Source organism: Homo sapiens, chromosome X, assembly GCF_000001405.40.
Source record: "Homo sapiens chromosome X, GRCh38.p14 Primary Assembly".
NCBI lineage: Eukaryota > Metazoa > Chordata > Mammalia > Primates > Hominidae > Homo > Homo sapiens.
The window spans coordinates 105,866,245-105,891,040 of record NC_000023.11 but is presented as its reverse complement, the minus strand read 5'-3'; the positions used below and the strand labels follow the sequence as shown (position 1 = coordinate 105,891,040).

General features: G+C 36.2%; 1 protein-coding gene across 5 annotated transcripts in view; it reads right to left on the bottom strand.

Annotated features, from left to right (window-relative positions):
• NRK (Nik related kinase) overlaps positions 1-24,796 on the bottom strand; it is a 136,825-nt gene that overhangs the window by 67,570 nt on the left and 44,459 nt on the right. For all 5 annotated transcript variants that reach the window (XM_011530887.4, NM_198465.4, XM_006724632.4 and 2 more), the window contains exons 3-5: positions 10,786-10,842; positions 9,262-9,333; positions 2,622-2,747 (exon numbers count right to left, since the gene is read on the bottom strand). In XM_011530887.4, the coding sequence (XP_011529189.1) occupies positions 2,622-2,747; positions 9,262-9,333; positions 10,786-10,800 (213 nt within the window). In that variant the 5' untranslated portion in view covers positions 10,801-10,842. The remainder of the gene's footprint in view (positions 1-2,621; positions 2,748-9,261; positions 9,334-10,785; positions 10,843-24,796) is intronic.

Genomic DNA, 24,796 nt, shown 5'->3' with positions numbered 1-24,796 from the left:
TTATTAGTTCATTGGGTAATTTCTGTAATAGCAACCATAGTAATTACATAAAATATTTGAAAATATTTATGTTGACTATTTCCAGTATTCATTTGAGTCCTCCCCCATCCCACCAGTAATCCCCTTGCCAGGCACTTAAGTTATTTTCCCATATTTTATCACTGTCATCTCCAGGAATCATAGTATATTTTGCCACATGATATGGTTTGGCTGTTTCTCACCCAAATCTCATCTTGAATTGTAGCTCCCATAATTCCCACATGTCATGGGAGGGACCTGGTGGGAGGTAATTGAATCATGGGGGCAGGTCTTTCCCGTGCTCTTCTAGTGATAGTGAATAAGTGTCACGAGATTTGAGATTAATGGTTTTATAAAGGGGAATGCCCTTGCACATGCTGTCTTGCCTGCCACCATGCAGGACATGACTTTGCTCCTCCTTTGCTTTCCACCATGATTGTGAGCCCTCCCTAACCATGTGGAACTGTGTCAATTAAACCTCTTTCCTTTATAAATTTCCTTTATAAATTATTAAGGCTCAGGTATGTCTTTACGAGCAGCGTGAGAACAGACTAATACAATAAATTAGTGTCAGTAGAGTGGGGCACTGCTGTAAAGATACCTGAAAATATGGAAGCAACTTTGGAACTGGGTAACAGCCAAAGGTTGAAATAGTTTGGAGGGCTCAGAAGGACAGGAAGATGTGGGAAAGTTTGGAACTTCCTAGAAACTTGTTGAATGACCTTGACCAAAGTGCTGATAATGATACGGACAATATGGTTCAGGCTGAGATAGTCTCAGATGGAGATGAGAAATTTGTTGGGAACTGGAGCGAAGGTGACCTTTGTTATGTTTAAGCAAAGAGACTGGCGGAATTTTGCCCCTTCCCTAGAGATATGTGGAACTTTGAACTTGAGAGAGATAATTTAGGGTATCTTCTGGAAGAAATCTCTAAGTAGCAAAGGGTTCAAGAGGAAGCAGAGCATAAAAGTTTGGAAAATTTGCAGCCTGATTATGCAATAGAAAAGAAAAACCCGTTTTCTGAGGAGAAATTCAAGCCAAATGCAGAAATTTGCAAAAGTAACAAGGAGCCAAACGTTAATCACCAAGACAATGGGGAAATGTCTCCAGAGCATGTCAGAGATCTTCACAGCAGCCCCTGCCATCACAGGCCCAGAGGCCTAGGAGGAAAAAAAATGGTTTCATGGGCCAGGCCCAGGGTCCTCTTGCTGTGTGCAGCCTAGGGACTTGTTGCCCTGTGTCCCAGCCACTCCAGCTGTGGCTAAAAGGGGCCAAGGTACAGCTTGGGCTGTTGTTTCAGAGGGTGCAAGCCCCAAGTCTTGGCAGCTTACACATGGTGTTGAGCCTGCTGATGCACAGAAATCAAGACTTGAGGTTTGGGAGCCTCTGCCTAGATTTCAGAAGATGTATGGAAACTCCTGAATGTCCAGGCCGAAGTTTGCTGCAGTGGCCAGGTCCTCGTGGAGAACCTCTGTTAGGGCAGTGTAGAAGGGAAATGCGGGGTTGAAGCTCCCACACAGAGTCACCACTGGGGCACTGCCTGGTGCAGCTGTGAGAAGAGGGCCACTGTCCTCCAGAACCCTGAATGGCAGGTCCACCAACAGCCTGCACCATGTGCCTGGAAAAGCCACAGACACTCAATGTCAACCCGTGAAAGCAGCCAGGAGGGAGCTGTACGCTGCAAAGCCACAGAGGCAGAGTTGGCCAAGACCATGGGAACCCACCTCTTGCATCTGCATGACCTGGATGTGAGATATGGAGTCAAAGGAGATCATTTTGGAACTTTAAGATTTGACTGCTCTGCTGGATTTTGGACTTGCATGGGGCTTGTAGCCCCTGCGTTTGGGCCAATTTCTCCCATTTGGAGCAGGCATATTTACCCAATGCCTATACCCACATTGTATCTACGGTAACTAACTTGCTTTTGATTTTACAGGTTCATAGATGGAAGGGACTTGCCTTGTCTCAGATGAGAATTTGTACGGCAGACTTTTGAGTTAATGCTGAAATGAGTTAAGACTTTGGGGAACTGCTGGGAAGGCATGATTGGTTCTGAAACCTGAGGAGATGAGATTTGGGAGGGGCCAGTGATGAAATGATATGGTTTGGCTCTGTGTCCACACCCAAATATCTTGAATTGTAGCTCCCATAATTCCCACATGTCGTGGGAGGTAACTGAATCATGGGGGCCGGTCTTTCCCACGCTGTTCTCATGGCAGTGAATAAGTTCACGAGATCTGATGGTTTTATAATGGGGAATTTCCCTGAACATGCTCTCTTGCCTGCCGCCATGCAAGACGTGACTTTGCTCCTCCTTTGCCTTCTGCCGTGATTGTGAGGTCTCCTCAGCCATGTGGAACTGTGAGTCAATGAAAACTCTTTCCTTTATAAATTACCTAGTCTCGGGTATGTCTAATGGCAAAAACCACGATTATTTTGCGCCAACCTAATAGCATTGTGAGACCAGATTAATACACCATACTACCTTAACAGTTGTGTGCTAAGTTTTCCTGTAGATGCACAAAAGTGATAACTCATGAAAACATACATCCTTGGGTAAAACTTATTCTTATAGAATAAGAACAGTGTAATTAAAAACATACCCAAAGTTGGTGCCGCTGACCAGGGGGACTCAGCTTGAAAAATGCTCCATAGAAGGACACAATGTTTTTGTGGAAAGAGTACTTCCTCAGAAGGTTGAGTTCAGTCCTGAGATCCTCTTCCTCATCCTATGGAATAAGAATAGACAGCAAAGCTCCTAAACTGTGCAATCAATGACTATAAGTCCCTAAAGTACAGTATATCAATGAAGGAGAATCCTATGGCAACTAATTATATCCAACAGCAATTTATAATAAAATCTCAACTAAAATGGTCAGTGAATGAAGACCTCTGGTTAACCTGGAGTCTGGGGGAATAAAAAGGGTAAACTGAAGATCGTTTAGTTCAGTGGTTCTTAAGGTATGGTCCCTGGACCAGCGGCACTGGCCACTGTATAAAATTTTCACTGAGTGGAGTCATTATATTGTTGTTTCTTTTGTAACAGTTTTATTGAGATATAATTCACATACTATAAAATTCACCCATTTAAAGTGCAAAATGCAATGGTTTTTAGTATATTTATACAGTTGTGCAATCATCACCACAATCAATTTTAGAACATTTTTATCACTCCAAAAGGAAACCCCATATCCTTTAGTTATCATCCCCCAATTCTGCCACACACACACCCCAACTCTAAGCAATCACTAATCCACTTTATGTCTCAGTAGATTTATCAGTTCTGGACATTTTATATAAATGAAATCATATAACATGGTCTTTTGTGACTAGTTCTTTTCAAAGTTCATCCATATGTAGCATGTAACAATGTTTCATTGCTTTTGGTTTACCATTCATCAATTGAGGGATGTTTGGGCTATTTCTACCATTTAGCTATTATGAATAATGCTTCTATGAACAGTCATGTCAAGTAACTCTATGTTTAATGTTTTGATGAAATGACAGACTGTCTCCCACATTGGCTTTACCATTTTGCATTACCAAGAGCAATGTATGCAGGGGTTCCACTTTCTCTACACTATCACCAACACTTGCTATTTTCTGTTTTATTATTATAACCATTCTAGTGGGTGTGAAGTGGTGTCTCATTGTGGTTTTAATTTGCAATTCCCTGATGACTAATGATGTTGAGCATCTTTTCCTGTGCCTATTGCCGATATGTTCTTCAAGAAATGTCTAATACAAAATTCTTTGTCCTTTTAAAAACTGGGTTGTCATTTTATTACTGAATTGTAAGAGCTCTTCATATATTCTAGATACAAGTGCCTTATCAGATAGACAACTTGCAAATAATTTCTCTCATACTGTGGATTGTTTTCTCACTGTCTTGATAGTGACCTTTGAAGCACAAAAGTTTTTATTTTAATGAAGCACAATTTATAAATTTGTTGTTTTGTTGCTTGTACTTTTGGTGCCATATATAAGCATCCACTGTCAAATCATAGGTCACAAAGCTTTATCCTTGTTTTCTTCTAAGCATTTTATAGTTTTAGCTCTTATACTTAGGTGTCTGATCCATTTTGAGTTAACTTTTATATAAAGTAAAAGTCCAACCTCATTATTTTGCATGTGGATGGACAGTACCATACTATCTTGATTATTTGGTAATCCTTTACATTTTAAAGGTATTGGTTTGTTCTGTGCTGATCTTTTAAAAATTTTTATTATTTTTTCACATTTTATTTATTTATTTTTATTTTTTTCGATAATTTATTTTTATTAATCACAACAATGGCACATGCATACCAAATATAGAGAAATATACTAATAAAATATGTAAGGGGTCTACTCTCACTGAACATTTTCCCCAAGCAATATTAACTGTTTAGTGTATATTCTTTCAGACATTTGTATATGATAATGCAGTAGCTAGAGCTATGACAGAGATAAATGCATAATGATATGATCAACACACACACACACATACACACACACGTATATATATATAATTATCAATATGTAATATATATAATATAATTATCAATATATTATATATAATATAATTATATATATAATTATCTGTATATATAATATATAATTATGTATATATACATGTGTGTCTGTATGTGTATGTGTGTGTGTTGATCATATCATTATGCATTTATATATGTGTGTGTGTGTCATTTAAAAAATCCAAATAAGCTCTTATTATTTTTAATATTCTGCAATTTTCATGTTTTAATCAGTATATAAAGCACATCTTTCCATATCAATAAACAAATGCACTTCCTTCTTATGGCTGCACAAGATTGCACAGAAAGGATATATGGGTCTGGCACTCAGGGGACAAGTCAGGTCTAGAAGTATTGTTTCTGAGAATTATCTATATAGTGATAATTGGAGCCATCTGGTTAGATGAGATCACCGAGGTACAATATATAGCTTCAAGACAGCTCTAGCAGAAGACAGTGTGATGTCAGTCAGAAAAAAACACCTACCATAGGCATTAGGACACCGAGGTTTAGCACTGATAGCCCAGAGTAGGAAATTCACTTAATCTTCCTAAAGTTCAATTTATTTTAAAAGAATGATGGAAGATAGCAGCCATTACCTATCTTCATGGAATGTTAGTGGGACCAAATGGGATAACATATATAAAGTTCTTTGAAATCTTTGAAAAAAATTCTATAAATGCAATGTATTATCACAAAATATCATTGTTATTTGACTTCTTTGAATTACTCCGAGCGCTATCAGAACTATACACTTCCCTCCACTGTTTACCGTAATCTACAAACATCAGCCTCCTTCATTCCCAGCATATTAATTATAGTGGAGTGACATGGAAAGCAATTCTCTCAAAGTTTCAGTGATGTCTGCTTGTACCATGATAGCCAAGTGGTTTTGATATTCCTTCTGTAACTCTTATTTCTCAGCCAATCTAGAAAAAACTCTTTGCTTCTTAATAATTTGAAAACAATTACACTTTTGTGTATACAGATGCAATACACTTGAGAAAAATATCTTAAAATGTTAACTTACAAAAAGACAACTTAAATTGTTAAAATTTTCAATGAAAATATAATTGGTTTGTGCATTTAGGTATTATGATCCTAACTTAAAGGAAATTACACATCAGGAAATAAGATTCACATATGTGAATGACACAACCAACGGTGAATACAAAATAGTTGAATACATAATAAAGTTGAAGGTGATGTGAGATGACTCAGGAAGTGATTCTGTACTTGAAAAATGGATTCCTCACTGACCTCCTTTGAATTCATAGTAGCTCTAAATTTTATTTGATTGTAAATTAAAAAGCTCTCCTATTTCATCTATAATAGTTCAATTTATAAAAATTATTAAGAAATATTCTTATTGTTGAAAGTGAAATATATTTGTAGAGTGTAAAGAAAAGAAGACTTTTGGCCTGGCGTGGTGGCTCACACCTGTAATTCCAGCACTCTGGGAGGCTAAGGCAGGTGGATCACTTGAGGTCAGGAGTTTGAGACCAGCCTGGCCAAAATGGTGGAACCCCATCTCTACTAAAAGTACAAAAATTAGCCAAGCATGATGGTAGATGCCTATAATCCCAACTACTGGGGAGGCTGAGGCAGGAGAACCACTTGAACCCAGGAGGCCAAGATTGTGCCACTGCACACTAGCCTGGGCAACAGAGTGAGACCTTGTCTCAAAAACAAACAAACAAACAAACAAAAAACTTTTGAATTAAAGACTTCCGGTTCTGAAATCCAGTGAAAAAAAAGATTTCCTTAACTCTTTTGAGCAATGACCTAGGAAAGGGACAATTGACATGGAAAATAATTAAGGGATTAACCACCAATTTTCTTTAGTTCTCCCCAGCATTTTCCTCAAACTATCCTGACTTAATGACTGAAATATAGGGAAATAAGTCTCTTAGCTGAAATGAATTGGTAACTAAACATAACTCAGTTATTACCTTCTCTCTTAGCTAATTCTCTAAGAACCAGCAGGAAAAATAGGCAACTACTTTCTATATTTAGGTATAATGTGGCTAGGCTTTAAAAATACTTATGACATAAATATAAAGCAGTGCACTAGGCTCTGTAGTGTCTCTAAGTTGACTTAACTTTTAGTTATAAATTATCTTTCCTCCCCTAAAATGCCCGGTATTTATATCTCGTAAAAAAAAAAAAAGTTTGCAATGTCAGAGAAAATGGCTGGCAGTTGCAGAACATTCTTTAGTATTTCCCAAGGATTTTCCACTGGATTTACCTATAAACATTCAACTACTGGAAAATAAATCTCTAGACACCTATTTGTCTTATGGGGGAAAAGGATAGGTCCTGATATGTGCAGTTGAAAATCTCAGTGATAGGTTCCCTCTTTCTATTTATTTGTGTAATAAAGTCATGACAACTTGTGGTATGAGAATTGCATGAAAGCTCAGGCTAGAGTCTCATCCCAACCTCCCAGCAAAGTTCAGTTAATAAGTTCCCTTCAAATTATCTTAATCTGTTTTCTAGAAAGGTAAAAATCCTGTGGCTTTAATTCTTGTCATGTAAGATCCTTAAACTTTCTGCTTCCCCTGTGATGTGGCCCTCCTTTGAAATAGTAACAATACCTGGCACCGCATAAGACTAGCAAACCACAGGGACTAGCTATTATAGAATATTTGTGCGTACGCACTCTCAGTTTCAATTAAGTTGCCAAGGTTCTGCTGAGAGGAATATGAACTCATAAGTAGTGCAATAAATAGGAATGAGAGGATGGTAGGAGGTTAAGAATACAAAGAACAAGTGAAAGAGAAGCAGGGGCAAGACTGAATTATTTCACTAGTTTGGTAGCTTGATGTTAAGGTGATTCCTTTTCTTTTTGAGTTAGAAAGCTTATGTGTCCTGGAAAGAACAAGAGATGCGCTGGGCTCTGGGCAGCTATGTAGTTGCATTTGTGATGTCTCTTTTTCTATGAGGAACCTGAGACATAGAAAGGTAAACCACTTTCCCAAGCACTTTTTGGCTATTTAGTGGTAGACTTGGGATTTGAACTCATGTTTCTGGACTTACATATTATTGCTATTTCCATAAACCCCTGGCATCTAAGAGATGTGTGTGCAAGTCACATACTTTTTATCCTAAAGGATTCAAGATAATTTAGAGATACTAACTGGATGATTAGCTAGCAGTTATTTTTTCTTACTAAAATACATAATCAGATAATTCAAAGTCCCCAACTAGAAAAACCTTTTAAGAGTGGGTTGCCCACATAAATGTAAACTCCCCCAAAACAAATAAATGAAGATCAGATATGTTTGGGAAGCGTTAGTGTGTTTGCCACTCTGAATTAACAGGAAGCTGAGCTTGTGAGAAACACATAAGTACATTATATCCATCAGACCAAGTGGGTAATTTAAAACTCTCACACATCTTCCAGTAATATGATGCTACAGCATTTCCTGGCTTAGGGCCAGTTGATCACAGACTGGCCTGAATACCCTGCGTTTTGTCAAGAGGAGGCAGCTCAAGGATGCCAGAACTTCCTTTGTAATTTCATCCAATTCTAGAATCAAAATCCTTTTCTCTAAGGAAAGTGTGCCAGAGAGGGTTTGGGACAGGTCTTTAAAAAAGTTTTATTAGCACAAATGTTTGATGAAACCAAAATTAATAAAATAATCATATTTTCCATACCTTATCTTTTGCGGTTTCCTAAGCTACAAAAGCATGATACTATCTGTTTTAGCTGGTCCTCTGGATATGCTTAGTCTCCTAACATGAATTATAGACATAACAGGAGCCTAGTACTTAATAGATGAGTCATGAGGTTGTTTAGTAATATCTTTCTAATATAACTAGAAAGTTTCTGAATGTGATTGTGTTAGTAAAAGGGTTATTTTTAATGTGCCTGAGACATATTTACTAAGTCACAAAATGCTAGAAATATTTGAGTCTCATGTATAGCTGACTGCAGGAGAGAAAAGTAGGAAAAAATATATCAATTCATTATATTGATAAGAGCAAAAATTCAACTTTTGGGCCCATACAATATTTTATAGATCACCAATATCTACTGAAAAAGAGAGATTATCTTTGGTTGGTTTTATTCTGGAGCCAGAGAATTGTTGGTATCAGAAAAACTGCTCTGAAGGTAAGCCAAAAAGCTGCACATAGAAAACATGTTCATATCCTTTCATGTGTTCAAGTATGGTACCAGATGTCTGAAGACCTTGAGGCTAAGTGGTTGGTTTGTTTTCTGCCTGCTATTGCTCTTACAAAAAGCGGGGGGGTGGGCACGTGGGGCATTCCTCATTTGGTTCAAACACGATGGTAATGTTTGTTAGAATCACAATGGAGGAAAAGCAATTAGTCCAGAATGTCATGATAAACGTGTGAAAAGGACCTTTCCAAGGCCAATTTTAGGCAAAATTTGCTGTAGATCGCATCACCTCCTTTTTTGTTGCTATTCAGCCAGAGGGTTCTATGCTCTGTAAATTTACGCAATTCCTCACTGACAGTCAATGCATTCCTATTCAAGGGCCCTTTTCTCCTATCTCCTACTCTCTGATATATGCTAGTGCTCATATATGATGATTGAATCTAAGTGAATATATTAAAAGATATAAATATGTTATCACTTTCAGGCAAGAACACTTTTAGTAGCAGTCTTCTAGAGATAATGACACAATGCAAAGGGATAAGTTAAAAGCTGAAAATGAAAGGAAAGACTACTTGGGTATTAATGAGAACTTTTAGTACTCACACTGTATCTCCACCCAACAGATTTTTGATATTTATTCACTCTCACTCGCCTTCCTATTTCAGGTAAAGGGGTCTGTAACCAAGAATAAAATGTTATTAGATGTACTGGTACACTCTAAAAATGATTTATGCTTAAGTACTTTAAGCTACGTTAGCACTCAATGGAAAAGTAAGATAACATTATTCCTCTCTCAATTTTCTCCAATAGTTTTAATTTAAAAAACCAAATTCTTATGACATACAGAAATTTGGCAACAAATTCATGGTAGTAGATTTAACTGCTGTAATAATGGGAAAATTACAATTTGTTATTAGTAAAGTGCTTTATCCTCCTTACAAAACCAGTTAATTGACACTAAACTTCCATGGGTTGAACATGATTTTTAAATATTTTAAAAGTCAGAGTATCTGAAATGTAGGTTAAAAGTATGTCAAGGTCTCTTAAGTTAAAACAAGAAAATAAGTATTTTAGAGAGTATCACTCAAAAAGTAGAAGTTTGATTATTTGGAAGCCATGGATTGTAGGGCAAAATAAATCTACAAAACATCAAAATCCCTCGAAACTCACATTGGTTTGCAACTTTTGACATTTACTGGCAAAACTAAAAGCACACAACTTTTTTTTTTAATTCAGCTATCATTTCTTTTTTTATTATTATACTTTAAGTTCTGGGATACATGTGCAGAATGTGCAGATTTGTTACATAGGTACACATGTGCTATGGAAGCACACAACTCTTTAAACAGTTTCAGCAATTCACTTCCTGCACAAATTGGAAAAAGCACAGTTTATGGCCTTGACAACAGTTCAGTCAATGTGTATAGCTTTTCAAACACAAATTTCCCTTTAGGGTATAGTGAAGTAAAATTTTTTTGACCTTTTCTATGTTTATGATAATATTATCTTGAGAAAGTGTGGCACTCACGTTAAAGAAAAAGAACAGAAATCAGTGCTAGCAAATTCTATGCCAATATGTTATGAACCGTGACACAACTTTATGAATGTTACCAGGAACGGTGCCAATTAAACTGTCTCTTTTGCTCATCTGTCAGAAAATACATGAAAAATGTGCATTTCTGATAAGTCTCTTCCTTCTACCTGTCATTGAGAATCTAATGGCCTCAATTATCAGAGGAAATCATTGGAGAGGGAAAATAATATGATGGAACACAGCAGGATTAACCCAATATTAGAAGCAATCTCTTCTTTGCTATCCCTGGAAACAAATAGTCAACTAGAAACAGAGAGGAGTACAGATATATTCCTCAGTGTTATAGAATACCAAAATATGTGGAACTTCTGCTGTGAAAGAAGCATTGTTTTATGTGGATATATAATAAAGTAATAGATATAATACACTAATGAATAAAAGTAATATTAAATGATAACTATAATAAATCCAGATTGATGTAATAATTATTATATAAAATAATGATTTAAAAACAAATACAATATTTTCTGAGTTGTGTATCCCAGGAACACAGTCCACTAAGGGAAGAGAATACAGGCAATTTATAATATTACCTTACGAGCGTTCATCACTTTAACAGCTGTAAATGCACCAGTCTTCTCATGAAGTCCCTGAAATACAGGATAGTGATAAATATCAAATGCTGGCTAGGTAATCCAGCTATCAAGAAGCAATTAAAGTAGAAAATATTAAAATTAGTGTCGAATACATTGTATGTTATAAAATATAAAATATATACAAATGAAATATATAGTATTATATAGAAAACAGAAATATTAAATTATCAACATTTTAAAGAAATCACCATCCCACTCAAAACACTCGACGAAGGTTATGGAACAGTTTGGCTGTTTACATCTGTAGTAACTAGTGGACATAATTGCCTATTTAAAGTTATTGCTTACTTAGTGTCTTTAATCTAGGTTTGCATGGCACCAAAGCATTTAATCTAAATGAAAATTTTCATTTAATCTAAGTGAAAATTTTCTATTGAAGATGGCAGAAAACGAGTTGTTGTACTAAACATTTTTTCAATTGATTATGTGATACTATGCAGACATCTTTCCACTGGACTCTTCTTCAAACACAAAATATTTATCATGTTAGCAAAAATATTAGCCATGCATTATCTCCATAATGATCACTTAGTGTGAGTGATTCATAATTAATTCAACAGCCTCTAAACTGTTTAATATGTCCTGAATCATATGAACCAAAAATATTTATAAAAGGAATAAGTTCTAGAAAATTCTCTCTTATTGAAAATATGATGAGTTATAAGAGCTTAGATCTTACCCTAAATGCAAGTATAAGCTACAGATTTGTAATTTTTAAAGGTGAACACATAGGTTTGGAATCAGATCTCCTATTTTGTGGCTGGTACCTTCTAGACATATTCCAAACTGTAGTCATAGAAAAAATCAGTATAACATTACTATGAGTAATAAATAGAATGCCTTATCTGATATTTCTCAGCAGAAGGTTTGATCTGGGGGCTGTACTTGGTTGAACAGTGTCCCCTCGAAAATTGAGGTTCACCTGGAACCTCAAAATGTGACCTTATTTGGAAACAGGGTCTTTGCAGATGTAATCAAACTATGATGAGGTCATATGGATTTGTTTGGTCAATGTCCGGTTTCTTTATAAGACGAAAGGAAGGGAGATTTGAACGCAGAGACACAGGGATACAGAAAGGGGTGACAGTCATGTAAAAGACAAGAAGAAATTGCAGTGATACAACTACAAGCCAAGAAATGTCAAGGATTGTTGATAACACCAGAAGCCAGGAAGAGACAAGGAACAGTTTCCTCCCTAGAGACTTCAGAGAGAGAATGGCCCAACAGACACCTCAACTCAGAATTCTTATGTCCAAAATTGTGAGGGAATACATTTTGTTTGTTTTAAGCCATCCAGTTTGTAGCAATTTTTTACAGCTGACCTAAGAAACTAGTACACAAGGCAGGAAAGACGGAAACTGAGCAAGGTAATGTGCTTGACTTGGGATAGGGTTCAGAGACTAGTAATCAAGGCACAAGGAAATGTCCAGAATTGGGTGAGCAGTTTAGGGCGGAGCATGCCAGCCACAGAAGACTAGAATTTTTAAAGGAAAGGAAAAAGTTACAGGTTATTGATTGATCCAGAGAAAAGTAGGAACCCAAGATCAAGACCTGTCTGTTTAACCTAAAGTCTTGGGAAACAAATGCAAAGGCAAAATCAGATTTACATGAGAAGTGGAAATGAGGCAGAGTTTGTAAGGATCAATCCATGAAGTAATACTATCAAGTTCTAGAAACAATTTTCTCTTTTATCAGACAAAAAGCACTATTTTTGCAACCTCCTTAGCTTCTTTTAAATTTTTCAAAAGAACATGAGCTTGTGTTATCTTCTGTCACTTGTCTTAATTGGGGCAGCCTGTTTGGATGGAGTCAGATTACTTTTGCTGGACAGTTATAATAAAACAGTTTTAAACTGTTCTTTTTCGTAGGATTGTAATGACACCTGAACTTAACCGAGTTTATAAAAATTATTGAGTATGTTGGATACCCTTCAAATTTATTTACATCTCTGGGAGGAATTATATATTAATATTTTTATTTATTCAGTCCTTATAACTTAGGAAGCATTGTTTTCATAATTATTCACACGAACACTTGCTAGTAAAATTTTTTCCACATCTGTATGCACAAATACAACATGTTGGAAACTGATTTGCATGCATCCCTTTAAAAAGTTACAATGCTTCCTTCCTTGATTCTAAGAGATTATTTATGAGCCACTATTATTTTGGGCAATACAAAATATTTATCAGGTTATCAAAAATATTAGCCATACATTATTTAACTGATGATAAGTAAAATACAAAATTTTTGAAGTCTAAAATCAATAGATTATGACATATTAGTGAGACAACTGAATGTCATTAAAAGATTCCAACCATGGCCATAAAACAGAAAAAAAATCAGCTTGGTTCTACCCTCATTATCTGTGATTTATTCACACTTGAAAATTGAATGAAGTTATTTCGTCAGAAAATGTGTCCTAATATTGGGTTTGAAAAATATGCTCACTGAACCTACAGAGGAATAAAACTCCAGGTCTCGGAACCATGTACTGAGTTAATATGCCAAATCATTCTACAAGACTCCATAGAAGTCTGGCATATACAGACAATAGATCATAGAAATGTGCTACTGTTAAGAGAGCATTTCAGAAGAGTTCCCCCTGTACCTTGACTCCTCAAAAATTTTATTTTGAAATAATTTTAGACTTATAGAGCAGTTTCAAAGATAGCACAGGGGGTTCCTGTATATCCTTTCCCCAGTTTCTTCCAATGTTAACATCTTAGATGGCCATGCTACAATTGTCAAAATGAAGAAATTAATATTGGTATAATACTCTTAACTAAATTTTAAAACTTATTCTGACTTCCCAGTTTTCTCACTAATGTCCTTTTTCTAGAACCAAACCTGGATCCTACATTCTATTTAGCTATCATGTCTTCTTAAACTTCTCCAGTGTGTGACAAGTCCTCAGTCTTTCCTGTTTTTCATAACTGTGACACTTTTAAAGAGTACTGGTCAAGTATTTTGTAGAATATCCCTCAACTTGGGTTTGGCTGATGTTTTCTTATGATTAGATTGAGGTTATGTGAATTTTTGGGAAGGATATCACAGAAGTGAAATGCCCTTTTCATCACATCATATCAGGGGTACATGATATCTCCATGTTGATCAATGGTGATATTAACCTTGAGCACTTGGTTAAGGTAACAACCTGCCAGGTTTCTCCACTATAAAGTTGTTATTTTTCCCTTTCATACTCTATTCACCAGAAGTGACTGATTAAGTGACTGATGTTCGTTTTGAAGAAGTATAACACTATTCTTGGGCACCTATCTAGAGAACCTAGAAGCCACCTTGAGATAAGCTAATTGTTCAGTGGTGCCATCTTGTGGTTCATTGATTATACAGAAGCTGTTTTGCGATCTTAGCTGAAGGACTTGTCATAAATGAGATGCTGAACTAGAACCTATGAATCCAGTTTTTAGGATGTGCCCTTTTTCAGTTAGAATGTGAGTTTTATGGCAAATTACGTTAACAACATTTGTGTTAAACACACAAAAGAACACTAAGAAAGGAATTTAGTTTTAGAACGTTAAGAAAGAAATTTAGTTTTAGATTCTACATTGAGTGTTAAATAATCTCACAATTGCCTTTAACCTCAGTGAATATTATTCAGGAAAATCACAAGAACAGTAGTAAATTATAAATGTGGATTTTTTGGGCTGTTTTTCCTATCAGTAATATCTGGAGTATCATACAGGAGCCACTAGCTCCACAAGATTAATAATGCTTCATTAACTAGAGTTTGAGTACAAAGAATGACCTTTACATTTTTAATTGATAAATAAAAATTGTATATATTTATGGTTTATAACAAGGTGGTTTGATATATGAATACATTGTGGAATGGCTAAATTGAGCTAATTAACATATGCATTACACTGCATGCTTATTATTTTTCTGTGGTGAAAACACTTAAAATTTACTCTTTTAGTAAATATATTTATAACAATATATTGTTATTAACTATAATCACCATGATGTGCAACAGATCTCTTGAACTTATTCTTCTGTCTAACTGAAATTTTGTGTCTTTTGACCAATATCTCCCCAATCCCCTGTCCCCCACTGCCACCAACCTCTGGTAACCACTATTATACTCTCTGCTTCTATGAGTTCAACTTTTTAGAATCCAGATATGTGAGATCATCCATTATTTGTCTTTCTATGTCTGTCTTATCTTACTTAACATAATGTCTTCCAGGTTCTTCCATGTTGTCACAAATGACAGCATTTCTTTCTTTTTAAATAATTTTCAAGCATCACAGAGCTAGGAGAAAAAAATTCTCTTAGCTCTCATTCTTATCGTAAAAGCAACTGCTGCTTAAATACTTTGTATAAGTTCATAGGCTCTTTCGTATTTGAGGAACAGAAGACAATAGGTAGTAACAATGCTTTGTAGTCATTCTTGACTCTAGATTCAAGTCTATTGGCATTTAGAATCAAGAAGTCTATCATCTTCACTTAAGAAAACTCTTTGTCTTGTTGTCAAACTCATTCCACGCATTCAAGTTTAGTTAATAATAATAATAATAATAAATAATAATTCAGTTATTGATTTGGGGGGCAATAGGTCAACTATTCAAAATACTTCCGGGTACTCCACAACCTACAACAAGGTATAAAAATTATTTATTAAGTCCTGTCCTCCATGTTATTAAGATAATGAAACTCAATATTAGCTAAGAGAAGGACACATTAATTTGTCACTAACATTTAAGCATGAGTTAGACTATCAGATGAGGTAACTAAAACAGTGGCAATGAACAGTTAAGTACTGATGGAATGAGAAGGTGGAGTAAAGAAAAGGCTGGAGCCTGAGGAGTTCCAGAAGGGGTTGTTCTTCAGCCATATTGAAAGAAGCAGGTTTCTGGAATGGAGAGCAGGGAAACCATGAGACCATGAGTGAGCAGGGAATTTCAAAAAGTGAATGAAGTTTTAAAAAGGGGAAGAGGATGGAGAGTTGGAAAGATAAACTGTTCTATTCACAGTTTATTGGAGAAATTTATAGTTTGTAAGATGTATACACCAGAAACAATTAGAGAATAGAACCAAATGCAAAGGCTAGTTATTAACATAAATTATTGGATCTCAAATACAGTATGTTTAAACAGTTCTAGAGAAAAAATATATGCTACCATGTGAAGGACTTAAATAAAGTCCTAAAAAACTTCCCTGATTAATTTATGCTGACACAACTAAATCTGTTTTCTGGGGTTGCATTCCAAAATATAGTAATTAAGATGAACGTATATTCTTTTTGCAGTATCATTTCAAACTATCCAGGGAGAATACATATCCCTTAATGTGTTGATTTCAGTTTGGCAAGGATTTGTGTTCTTAATTAATTAACTTAGATAATCAAATAAGCAGCATCATTTAGTCCACTTCCCCTGGGAAAAACCTAGTTTATTACGGTGCTGTTGTTCTTCATGACTCTAAAATTAATATTAGCATTTCAAATCTGTCCTACGAAAAGAATATGTTGCATGTCCCTGAATTTAAGATACTGCTCACATACAGGGCATTGTTAAGAGGTATATGTGCCTGCTTTTAACAAAAACCAATGCAGGAAAATCTTGTTAAACATAACAAAGCAAATAAAGGAACAGTCATAAAACATTTCTACTTTACAAAAGGACTTGCATTCATGCGACACCAAATTCCCCAAATTTAGTTGTATCTCAAAAGTAATGAAGCAAGGTCAATTTTTACACTGGGGACCCAGAATCAAATACAGGTTACCCAATAATTGTAAAGAAGAGTTATGAATTGTCAGTGTCTTGGTCACCTGAGACTTAAATTTGCTGACTTCTAACTGATCAACAAGTCTACCATAGTCTTTAGCCCCTACTTCCTTTGGGCACACAGCATTTGAAGATTTCCACTTTTGTTTTATAAGTCTGTCCTCTGCCTTTGGGCATGCTCAGATAGAGGTAAGTGGTTCTTCCAGTTACTCACTATGATTTCTGTAAGCAGATCTACGAGATAGATGTAGGAGTGTGGGGAGAGATGAGAGAGAAGGGTAGGAGTAGAGCAGAGACCAGGTGATGGCCCTAGGTGGAGCTTAGTCTTCTCAAATCTGGACCACACTGACAGTATTGAGTAAGGTATGTGGACAAATTTATTAAATACAGAAAATGTCAGAAAAAAAACAATAGGGCATTAAAGCGTAGTTATCAAGCACATCACTGTATCAAGGATTTAGTCACTCTATCAATAAAATCAGGTGAAACATAAAAGTCCTTAAAGTCTAGTAATATATTTATTTTACCTTGGTATCTCTAGTGCCTAGCATCATAGCTGGTACATAAGGCCCTTTTAATGAGTACTAGTTTAGTGAATGATGAATAGAGTAACTGGGAAGACTTCACAGAAGAGGTAAAATGTCAAATGGACCCTGAAGATGGCATAGCATTTGAACAGATTCAGAAGCAGAGGTTGGGCCCAGTGGATGGGACATTATGAGCAAAGGCTATGAGGTAATGCTGAGCAGGAAGGCACAGACACTAAAGAAGGGAAGAAAGGAAAAAGGGGGAAATGTCATAGAGAGAAGACAGATGAAAAGGAGAGAATGCAAGAGTGCACCTGTTTTTGTCATGCCAGAAATTTCAGTGTAAAATTTTTTTAAATAAAATCTTGTTTAATAGAAGACAGAAGTCATCACTGAGATGAGCCATTAGTAGTTTATCACTTTATGACTGGGTTTTGTTATTTAATGGTCTGATGCAAAGCCCAGGGTTGTTAAGGCACTGAAAAACCAGCATTGAATTGCAGTAATGATCAATTTCTTGGGGATTACACATTTTAAACCATAACAAATGATTTAAAATAGCAGTTGTGACAGCTGTGTTGGGAAAATCCACCATTCCGCAGCAGTTAATTACCATGTTTTTCTCTGGAAAGAATACAGGACAGTCCTTGATGGCCTTGTAATCTTGATTAGGCTAATTTTTAAAAAAATCATGCAGTTAAAGAAACTGTTGTAGGAAGACTGCTGATCCTTCAGCAGTTCCTACGTAGTCCTTCCCGTTATTTGCTTTGCTTTCTGTTGGCAAATCAAAACCACATAATCCCCCAGGGCATTCTTTCGTTCTTTTCAATCGGTTTTCTGGTGGCAGAAGGCCATGAGGCACTTACTACACTCATGTCCATTCTGTAACCTCGTTTTTCATTCATAGAATTTTGTCCTTCTAGTCATTTGCTTGGATGCCAGCTTTCTCATAGCAAACAAAGTGACCCTTCGAGGCCACGGAGAATGCGATTGTAAACAGCACCTGGGAGTACTTGATGCTGTGCCAGGGAGGGACAAGACAACACGGCTGACAAGATGGTTTTTGTCAGCATCAGGTCCATGCAGAAAAACAAAGACATGTGGCTAGAAAGGACTTTGAAAGGCTAACGAGTCCTTATCAATGTCTCTAAGCAAGGCCTTTCCTTCACCAGTGCTTGAGATGGGAAGTAATGGTGATTTGGTTAGTATTTGAAAGTTTTCATTTTGCTTCTTCCTTCTTAGTCTTCATCACCATTGTCAAGCTCAACAAGCCCAAAGGGACAGATGGGATCAGAACATTCAGGGTTTGGAGGTGTGGCTGAGATTGGAGTGGATCTACCACAGATTGGTAGTAGTGGTGGGAGGATAGGTTTGGGGACATATAAGGGAACATGGCAATTACTCTCCATCTCACATCTTATCCATCAGGAAGATTTACTTATTACTATAATAACAATTGCCCAAAGAGGAGATGTAGCCTGTTTTTGAGATCCTCAAAGTTATTTTACAGACATCAACTTTAGATTTGTTTTAAGAAGGTTTAAGCAAATCAATGATGTTTAGATGTTTGACAGGCGCTATTTGGTAATTGACAAGATTATTAAGCTTCACACTTATTAACTCCCATAAAGCCTTGTATATACTGCTAGGCCACAGGCTGTACTCATTACATTAGATTGAGGGACAGTCATTTAGCTGCCAAAGGACACTGAAGAGAGTCTGTTATTTGATATCTGTATAAGCATCCCATCATTACAAAGTTTTGATACACCTAAGTGTATCAAATTTGGGAAATTCTTCTTAGGTGTGGTTTTTTCCTTTTGGAGAAAACTCAGAACTGGCAGGAGTCGATATTTCTGACTTTCAGCAGATGGATCCTGGAGTTGAATAAATACTATTTTAACCTTGACACTTTAAGATCAACAAAGGCTTCTATAATCAAGCTGCTACAACTTTCAGGTCAAACATTGCATGTTAATGGGGGAGGAAGAACAGGATCGCCTCTTCCTTCAAGAATAGTAACAAAGAGATTATTACTAGACTTTATAAATATTGCTTATGACACTGCTGTCACTTTTAAACCTCTATGGAGAAATGTCCTATCTTCACATGTATCACGAGGGTAAATTTGCACTCAAGCTGTTTTAGCAACATAAATGAAACTTACATGATCAGTTGGCACTTTATATTCCTGAGCCATCTTAAGTTCCTTTTGCCACCGAATCTATTTGCCTATCTATCTCCCCTACTGGATTGGCAGCTCCCTAAGGGTAACTTTCCTCTCTAAATTTAGGGTCTAGCACAGTACCTGGCACATCATAGGCACTCAGCACATATGTGCTGAACTGACCAAGTCAATTGCAACATGGAGCACTAAATAAGGAAGGAGTTGCAAAGGCAGAGGTGTGTGTGTGTGTGTGTGTGTGTTGGTGGGGTGTACAAAGATAATTTATATACCAAACAATATGGGAGAAGAGTTAGAGGGAGCCCAAAGCCCAGTGGGCTCCATGATATGCTGGAATTCCCTGACAAAGGCTGTGAAAGTACTGTGGCTAAGTACTCCAGGAACTCAAGGGCCATTCTTTGTCCATAAGTAAATGGTATTTTCATTGACCCTAGGTTGCACTGTGATGCCACCCAAAATTTTTCACAACTCTATTCAGTCAGAGGGCCTCAATGAAGAAGCTAGTCACGGTCAGAGGGCATGAGCTCACAAAATAATCGAAGTGCCAAGGCTCTTGCCAAATTGACAAAAGTTTGTCAGGTAACATTACTTAATGTTCATCCATGCTTCCCCTAACCTGTGGCTACTACTCTGAAATCTTCACTAAATACTTGCAGTTGATACCCTCTGTAGTTATATCAACTATGGGGACATGTGATAGTGAGAGCTAGCTCTAAGTTCTTTACTTCTACATTTTTTTTTCTTAACATACCCCTAAATTACCCAAACCTTTGCTACATGTAGTCAAAGGATTTGTATGGAAACAGATTTTTGTAGCTAAAAAGCTACAGAATCACCAGAATAATCCAACAGAATAATGTTTTTCCCCTTCCAGAAATCTGGGACAGTCATGGTCATGCTTATTAGAACTGTGAAAGGAGTCAGAAGACAGCCTTCGTAGTTTCAGTGGCTTTGTAGCTTTGAAAGTGCCCTGTAATTTGAGGCAGTTATGTGTGCTTATACAGCAGCTTTGACTGAGTTTTATTGCCCTTGTTATTACTCCTGCAGGGAAACAATAGGTCAAAATACATAGTAACATCATTTGCACATAGAGCTGCTCTCTATTACGCTATAGCACTCAAATGACGAATTGTACAAAATGGACAATAAAGTTCTGTGTTCTTGGCTGTGGGATACATACAACATTTGCAGGAAATAAATGAATAGCTACTAGTAGGCAACTAAGGAAAGACTGCAACATACTGCTATGTGGCAAGCCAGATCTACAGGGGACAAAAGTACAAAGCCATTGAAGCTTGCTGTTACAAATGGGTGACACCATAAAACCTTCAATGCTGGTCACTAATTCAAATTTAAAGTCACAGGCTATAACTGCACATGCTGAGGAAACTACATAGGAACTCCATGAGACTAGGGCCCACACTATTTCAAACCCTCTGATAACACTTCCAAGCAGCATTGTTTACCAAAGTATATGGAAAGCATGATCAAGTGATTGATGACTATTTAGTTCTCCATGTAAGAAGCTTCCCCACAATGACATTCTCTTTTTTTCCCTCCGAATGACAATACACTACAAAAATAAAAAAGAACTCATCTATTGGAATGACTTACATATTCAGGATTTTTTTTCTTTCAGTTACTATTTTCTCCCACTATGGTAGATTGTATACCTTTTCCTTTTAAGGTTTGTCTGGGCTTAACCATGGGGCAGTGGGTGAGGGTATGGCAAGAGCAACAAAACCCTCCGTAAGCAAACAGGTTTCAGCATACAGCAGATAGTGCTTTATTGCAATGTCACAATGTTTTAACACAGATTGCTTTCTTTATGTAATGCATGAATCAGTTAACACTCATGCAAAATGCATTCCATCTGCTCAGACAGATGTAAGCTGCAGTGTTTCCAATTCTATCAAACAGCACAACTAGTTGAAAGAAAAGCACTGAGACAGATGGGTGATGACTGAGAAGAGGGGTTCAACCAAAAGAAGCAACTTTGTCTTAAAATCTACACAGTCAAAATGGAATTCTCAACTTTTCCAGGTGTGTCCACAGAGGTACAAACACAACAGCCCTTAATATAAAGATGAGGTGAAGAGGATGTTGATGCATTTTTTAAAAAGTCTTTATAAACTGAATTGTCTCTGCAAACCATAGCAGTAACTAGTAGTACTCAAAGGCACTTTAGAAGCACTGAAGTTGACTGGGATGGCTACTAAGAATAAGGGAAATGCCAAGGAGGAGGGAAAATAGAAAAGGAAAGAATAGAAGAGAAAATGAGAGAAGCAGCAGGGAGTAGAAAAAGACTGGAGAAAGATGATGATGAGGAAAAAAGCATAGTTTACATTTAAGATAGTACAAGGCCCTTAGGGTCTAGTCAATGCTTTTAAACATAGACATGAGAGAACAAAAGGACATCTTCTATCAATATCAATTTACCTCTAACTTCCAGGCCCTGCCACCCTCAAAAGGTATGAGTCCTCATTGTAGCCCCTAAGTTGACTGAAAACTACTTTTACATGTAGACTGTTGCCTTGAATTGACCTTTATGGGTAAACTCCATGCCTCACACATTCCCTTCCTCAACATTCCACCCTGCTGTCCCATTCCTTCAGCATCTGGCTTTGGCCTTTGCAAAGCCAAAGCACTAGCTAATCTTCCCATACTAATGTATTGCAAAGATCTTATCCAGTGACCTCTTTTCTCATCATGGTACAACATGTGCATTTTAACTGGGGCTGTGTGTGTGTGTGTTTTTTTTAATTACGAACTTGAGTTTTTAAATTTAATGCTTTTTTGAGAGTGTTTTTTAACTCTAAGGAATTACCAAGGCAGTCGGAATTTCAGAACATTTTGGCTACTATAATGCTGGATTTGCCTATGACATGCTGTTTACCTAAAGCCTGCAGAAATGAAATATGAAGAGTGTGAAATCAACTGAAAGTCTCAGAGTTAAACCCCTCAATATATCCCTTACAGTTGTGTGGCGAACAGAGTGGTGGGGGGCGGGGGAAGTGGATGGGGGGAAAGTATGGTGGATATAGCCACTCAAAGAATGCCAAGCTGAAAAATGCAACATGATAAAAGTAGAATGGTACTATTGCACAGAATAATAGAATCCAACTACAGGAAGATTTGAGTTAAGGCTACCCAAACATAAAAGTCACTGAGGTAGGCAAGTGAAATCTAGCGAGGCAATATGGAAGACTAAGGCAATCGTCTAGATAAAACTACATATTTATAACAATTATCTGGTTGTTTCAATAAATGTGTGTATATGTGTATGCATGCATGTAGGAGGAGTACGTGGAGGGAGCAGTGTGTATGTGTAGCAATGACAATTCCCAGATTTGGAGGAAAGGAAGGAAAGCGATCTAAAGGATCATGGAAGCACGTAGAAACCAACTTTACCTTGCTCACAACTTTGACTTTTTTCTTTCCTCCTTCAAATAGTTTCACCATTTTTTTCTGCTGAATTCTCCACCACTAATTTTCCAAATTCATTGATTCCCACTGTCCAAAGGCATAGAGGTAGTAGCAGAGGCAAGACTAAGCCCAAGACCCTGGTGCTCTTTAACCCTTTCACACTACCTGCATATGTAAGTATTTATTAAATACTACCTATATGATATGTAGAAAGCAAGGAAATATAAAAATTAGTTATAGTTTTTATTTTTAAGGAATTTTTAATATAGATAATAAAGTTACACAAACCTCCACAATGCAAGAGACAATGTGGCAATTTTCACAGTAAGAGTACAAGTGAAAATTACAAGGTCTTTGAAAGTATTAGAATGATATTTAAGATTTTCCTATTGAAAATGTTTCACAAATCCAGGTCAGCAGTCTACCAAATTAGAGAGATTCTAGTTATTTGAATATTTTCAAATTCTCAGTTTATATTTTAATTCACACATAACAACTACATTTTGTTAGTTCTTAGGTTCTGTATGTTTTCAAATTGATTTCATTGCCATAAATTACTGCTATAATAATAAGCCTCTGGATGGAACCATGATTAAATCCTATGGAACAAACTGCTAATATTTGGGAGATATAACGAAAATATCTGGTATAACAAGCTGATTGAATTATTTTAATGTTTATGCAAAAGGGAAGAGAGAGCTTCACCTATAAATATCTCTGTGAATTCAAATGCAGGCACAAATGCAGTCTAAATATTATTTTAACCATTTATGTGTTACTCGGACAATGCTCAAACTTATTAAAAGATAAAAATATGTTTGATGAAATTTATTTTCACTTTGGGCTTGTATAAGTCAGGAACTGGGACCTAATTCTTAGTCTGGAATTAGAAGTAAATTTAGATGGTCTATCTATAACCTTAGCAAGTTCACCCTGGCTAATCAGTTTCAAAAACCATGTATCCCCATCTGGCTTAGATGACAGATTATAGAGTCCAGAGAAGATACTTCACCCACATCTGACCGAGGCAAGAGAGTATCTGTGGGATGTGGCTTTGAGATTTACTTTGTCTTTTTGAAAAGATTAACCAATTACGTTATGCTTCGTTTATTTAGCAGTATTATCAGGAAGGTCAATCTGAATTAATTTAAAATCTAAATTGAAGCAACTTCAATATATTCATCCAGGCTGCCTAACAGAGAACCTTAGAGAACCTAGTATATTGATTGAGCAAGAATAATTTTTAATTAACTCATCAAGACTATACCAAGGTATATGTTTTCACTATCCTCTACTGCAACCAATTCAACAAAAATTCACTGAATGCCTGTCTGCAACACACTGTGTTAGGAAGTGTGTGATAGAAAATCTAGGGCTACCAAAGAACTTGAAAAAAAAATGTTGTCCTAAATAGATTAAATAATCTTTTTACAATTTTGTCTATTATATTAATTTGCTCAACAACACTTTTTAAAAAGCCCCCACAAATATTTATGAATTATTATGCTATTTGTTTAATCTTATCATTTGATATGTGTGAGAGGCCCCAAAAACTATTTTCCTCTTTAATCAAAAGTATTAATGCATTAGATAAATATCCAATAAAGTAAATACATTTTTTGAGTTCACATTAACATTTTCCTTTTCCTATAAATCACTCAGACATGTATGTGTTCAACTTCTAAACACTTAAGGATTTTTGGTTATCATTTTGTTGTTCCTTTCTAAATTGTATTGAATTTTGGTCAGAGAATATGTTCTATAGGATACGGATTCTTTGGTATTTAAGATTTTCTCTACAGCCAAGATTATAATCAATTTTTCAAAATGTCCCTTACGTGCTGGAAAAGAATACAGCACATAAGAAACATTTTATTTTCTAACCTTGATTATTTTTTAGTTTATTCTCTAACTCTTGATTCAGAATTCAATATATTTCCATGGGTCCAAGCTTGCTAATTGCATTCTTATGGAGGTTTTTGCCAACTTGATCTATAACATTCCGAGGCAGATGTTAAAGTCCTCCAGTCTGTGATTATGGAAGTATCAATGTCTTT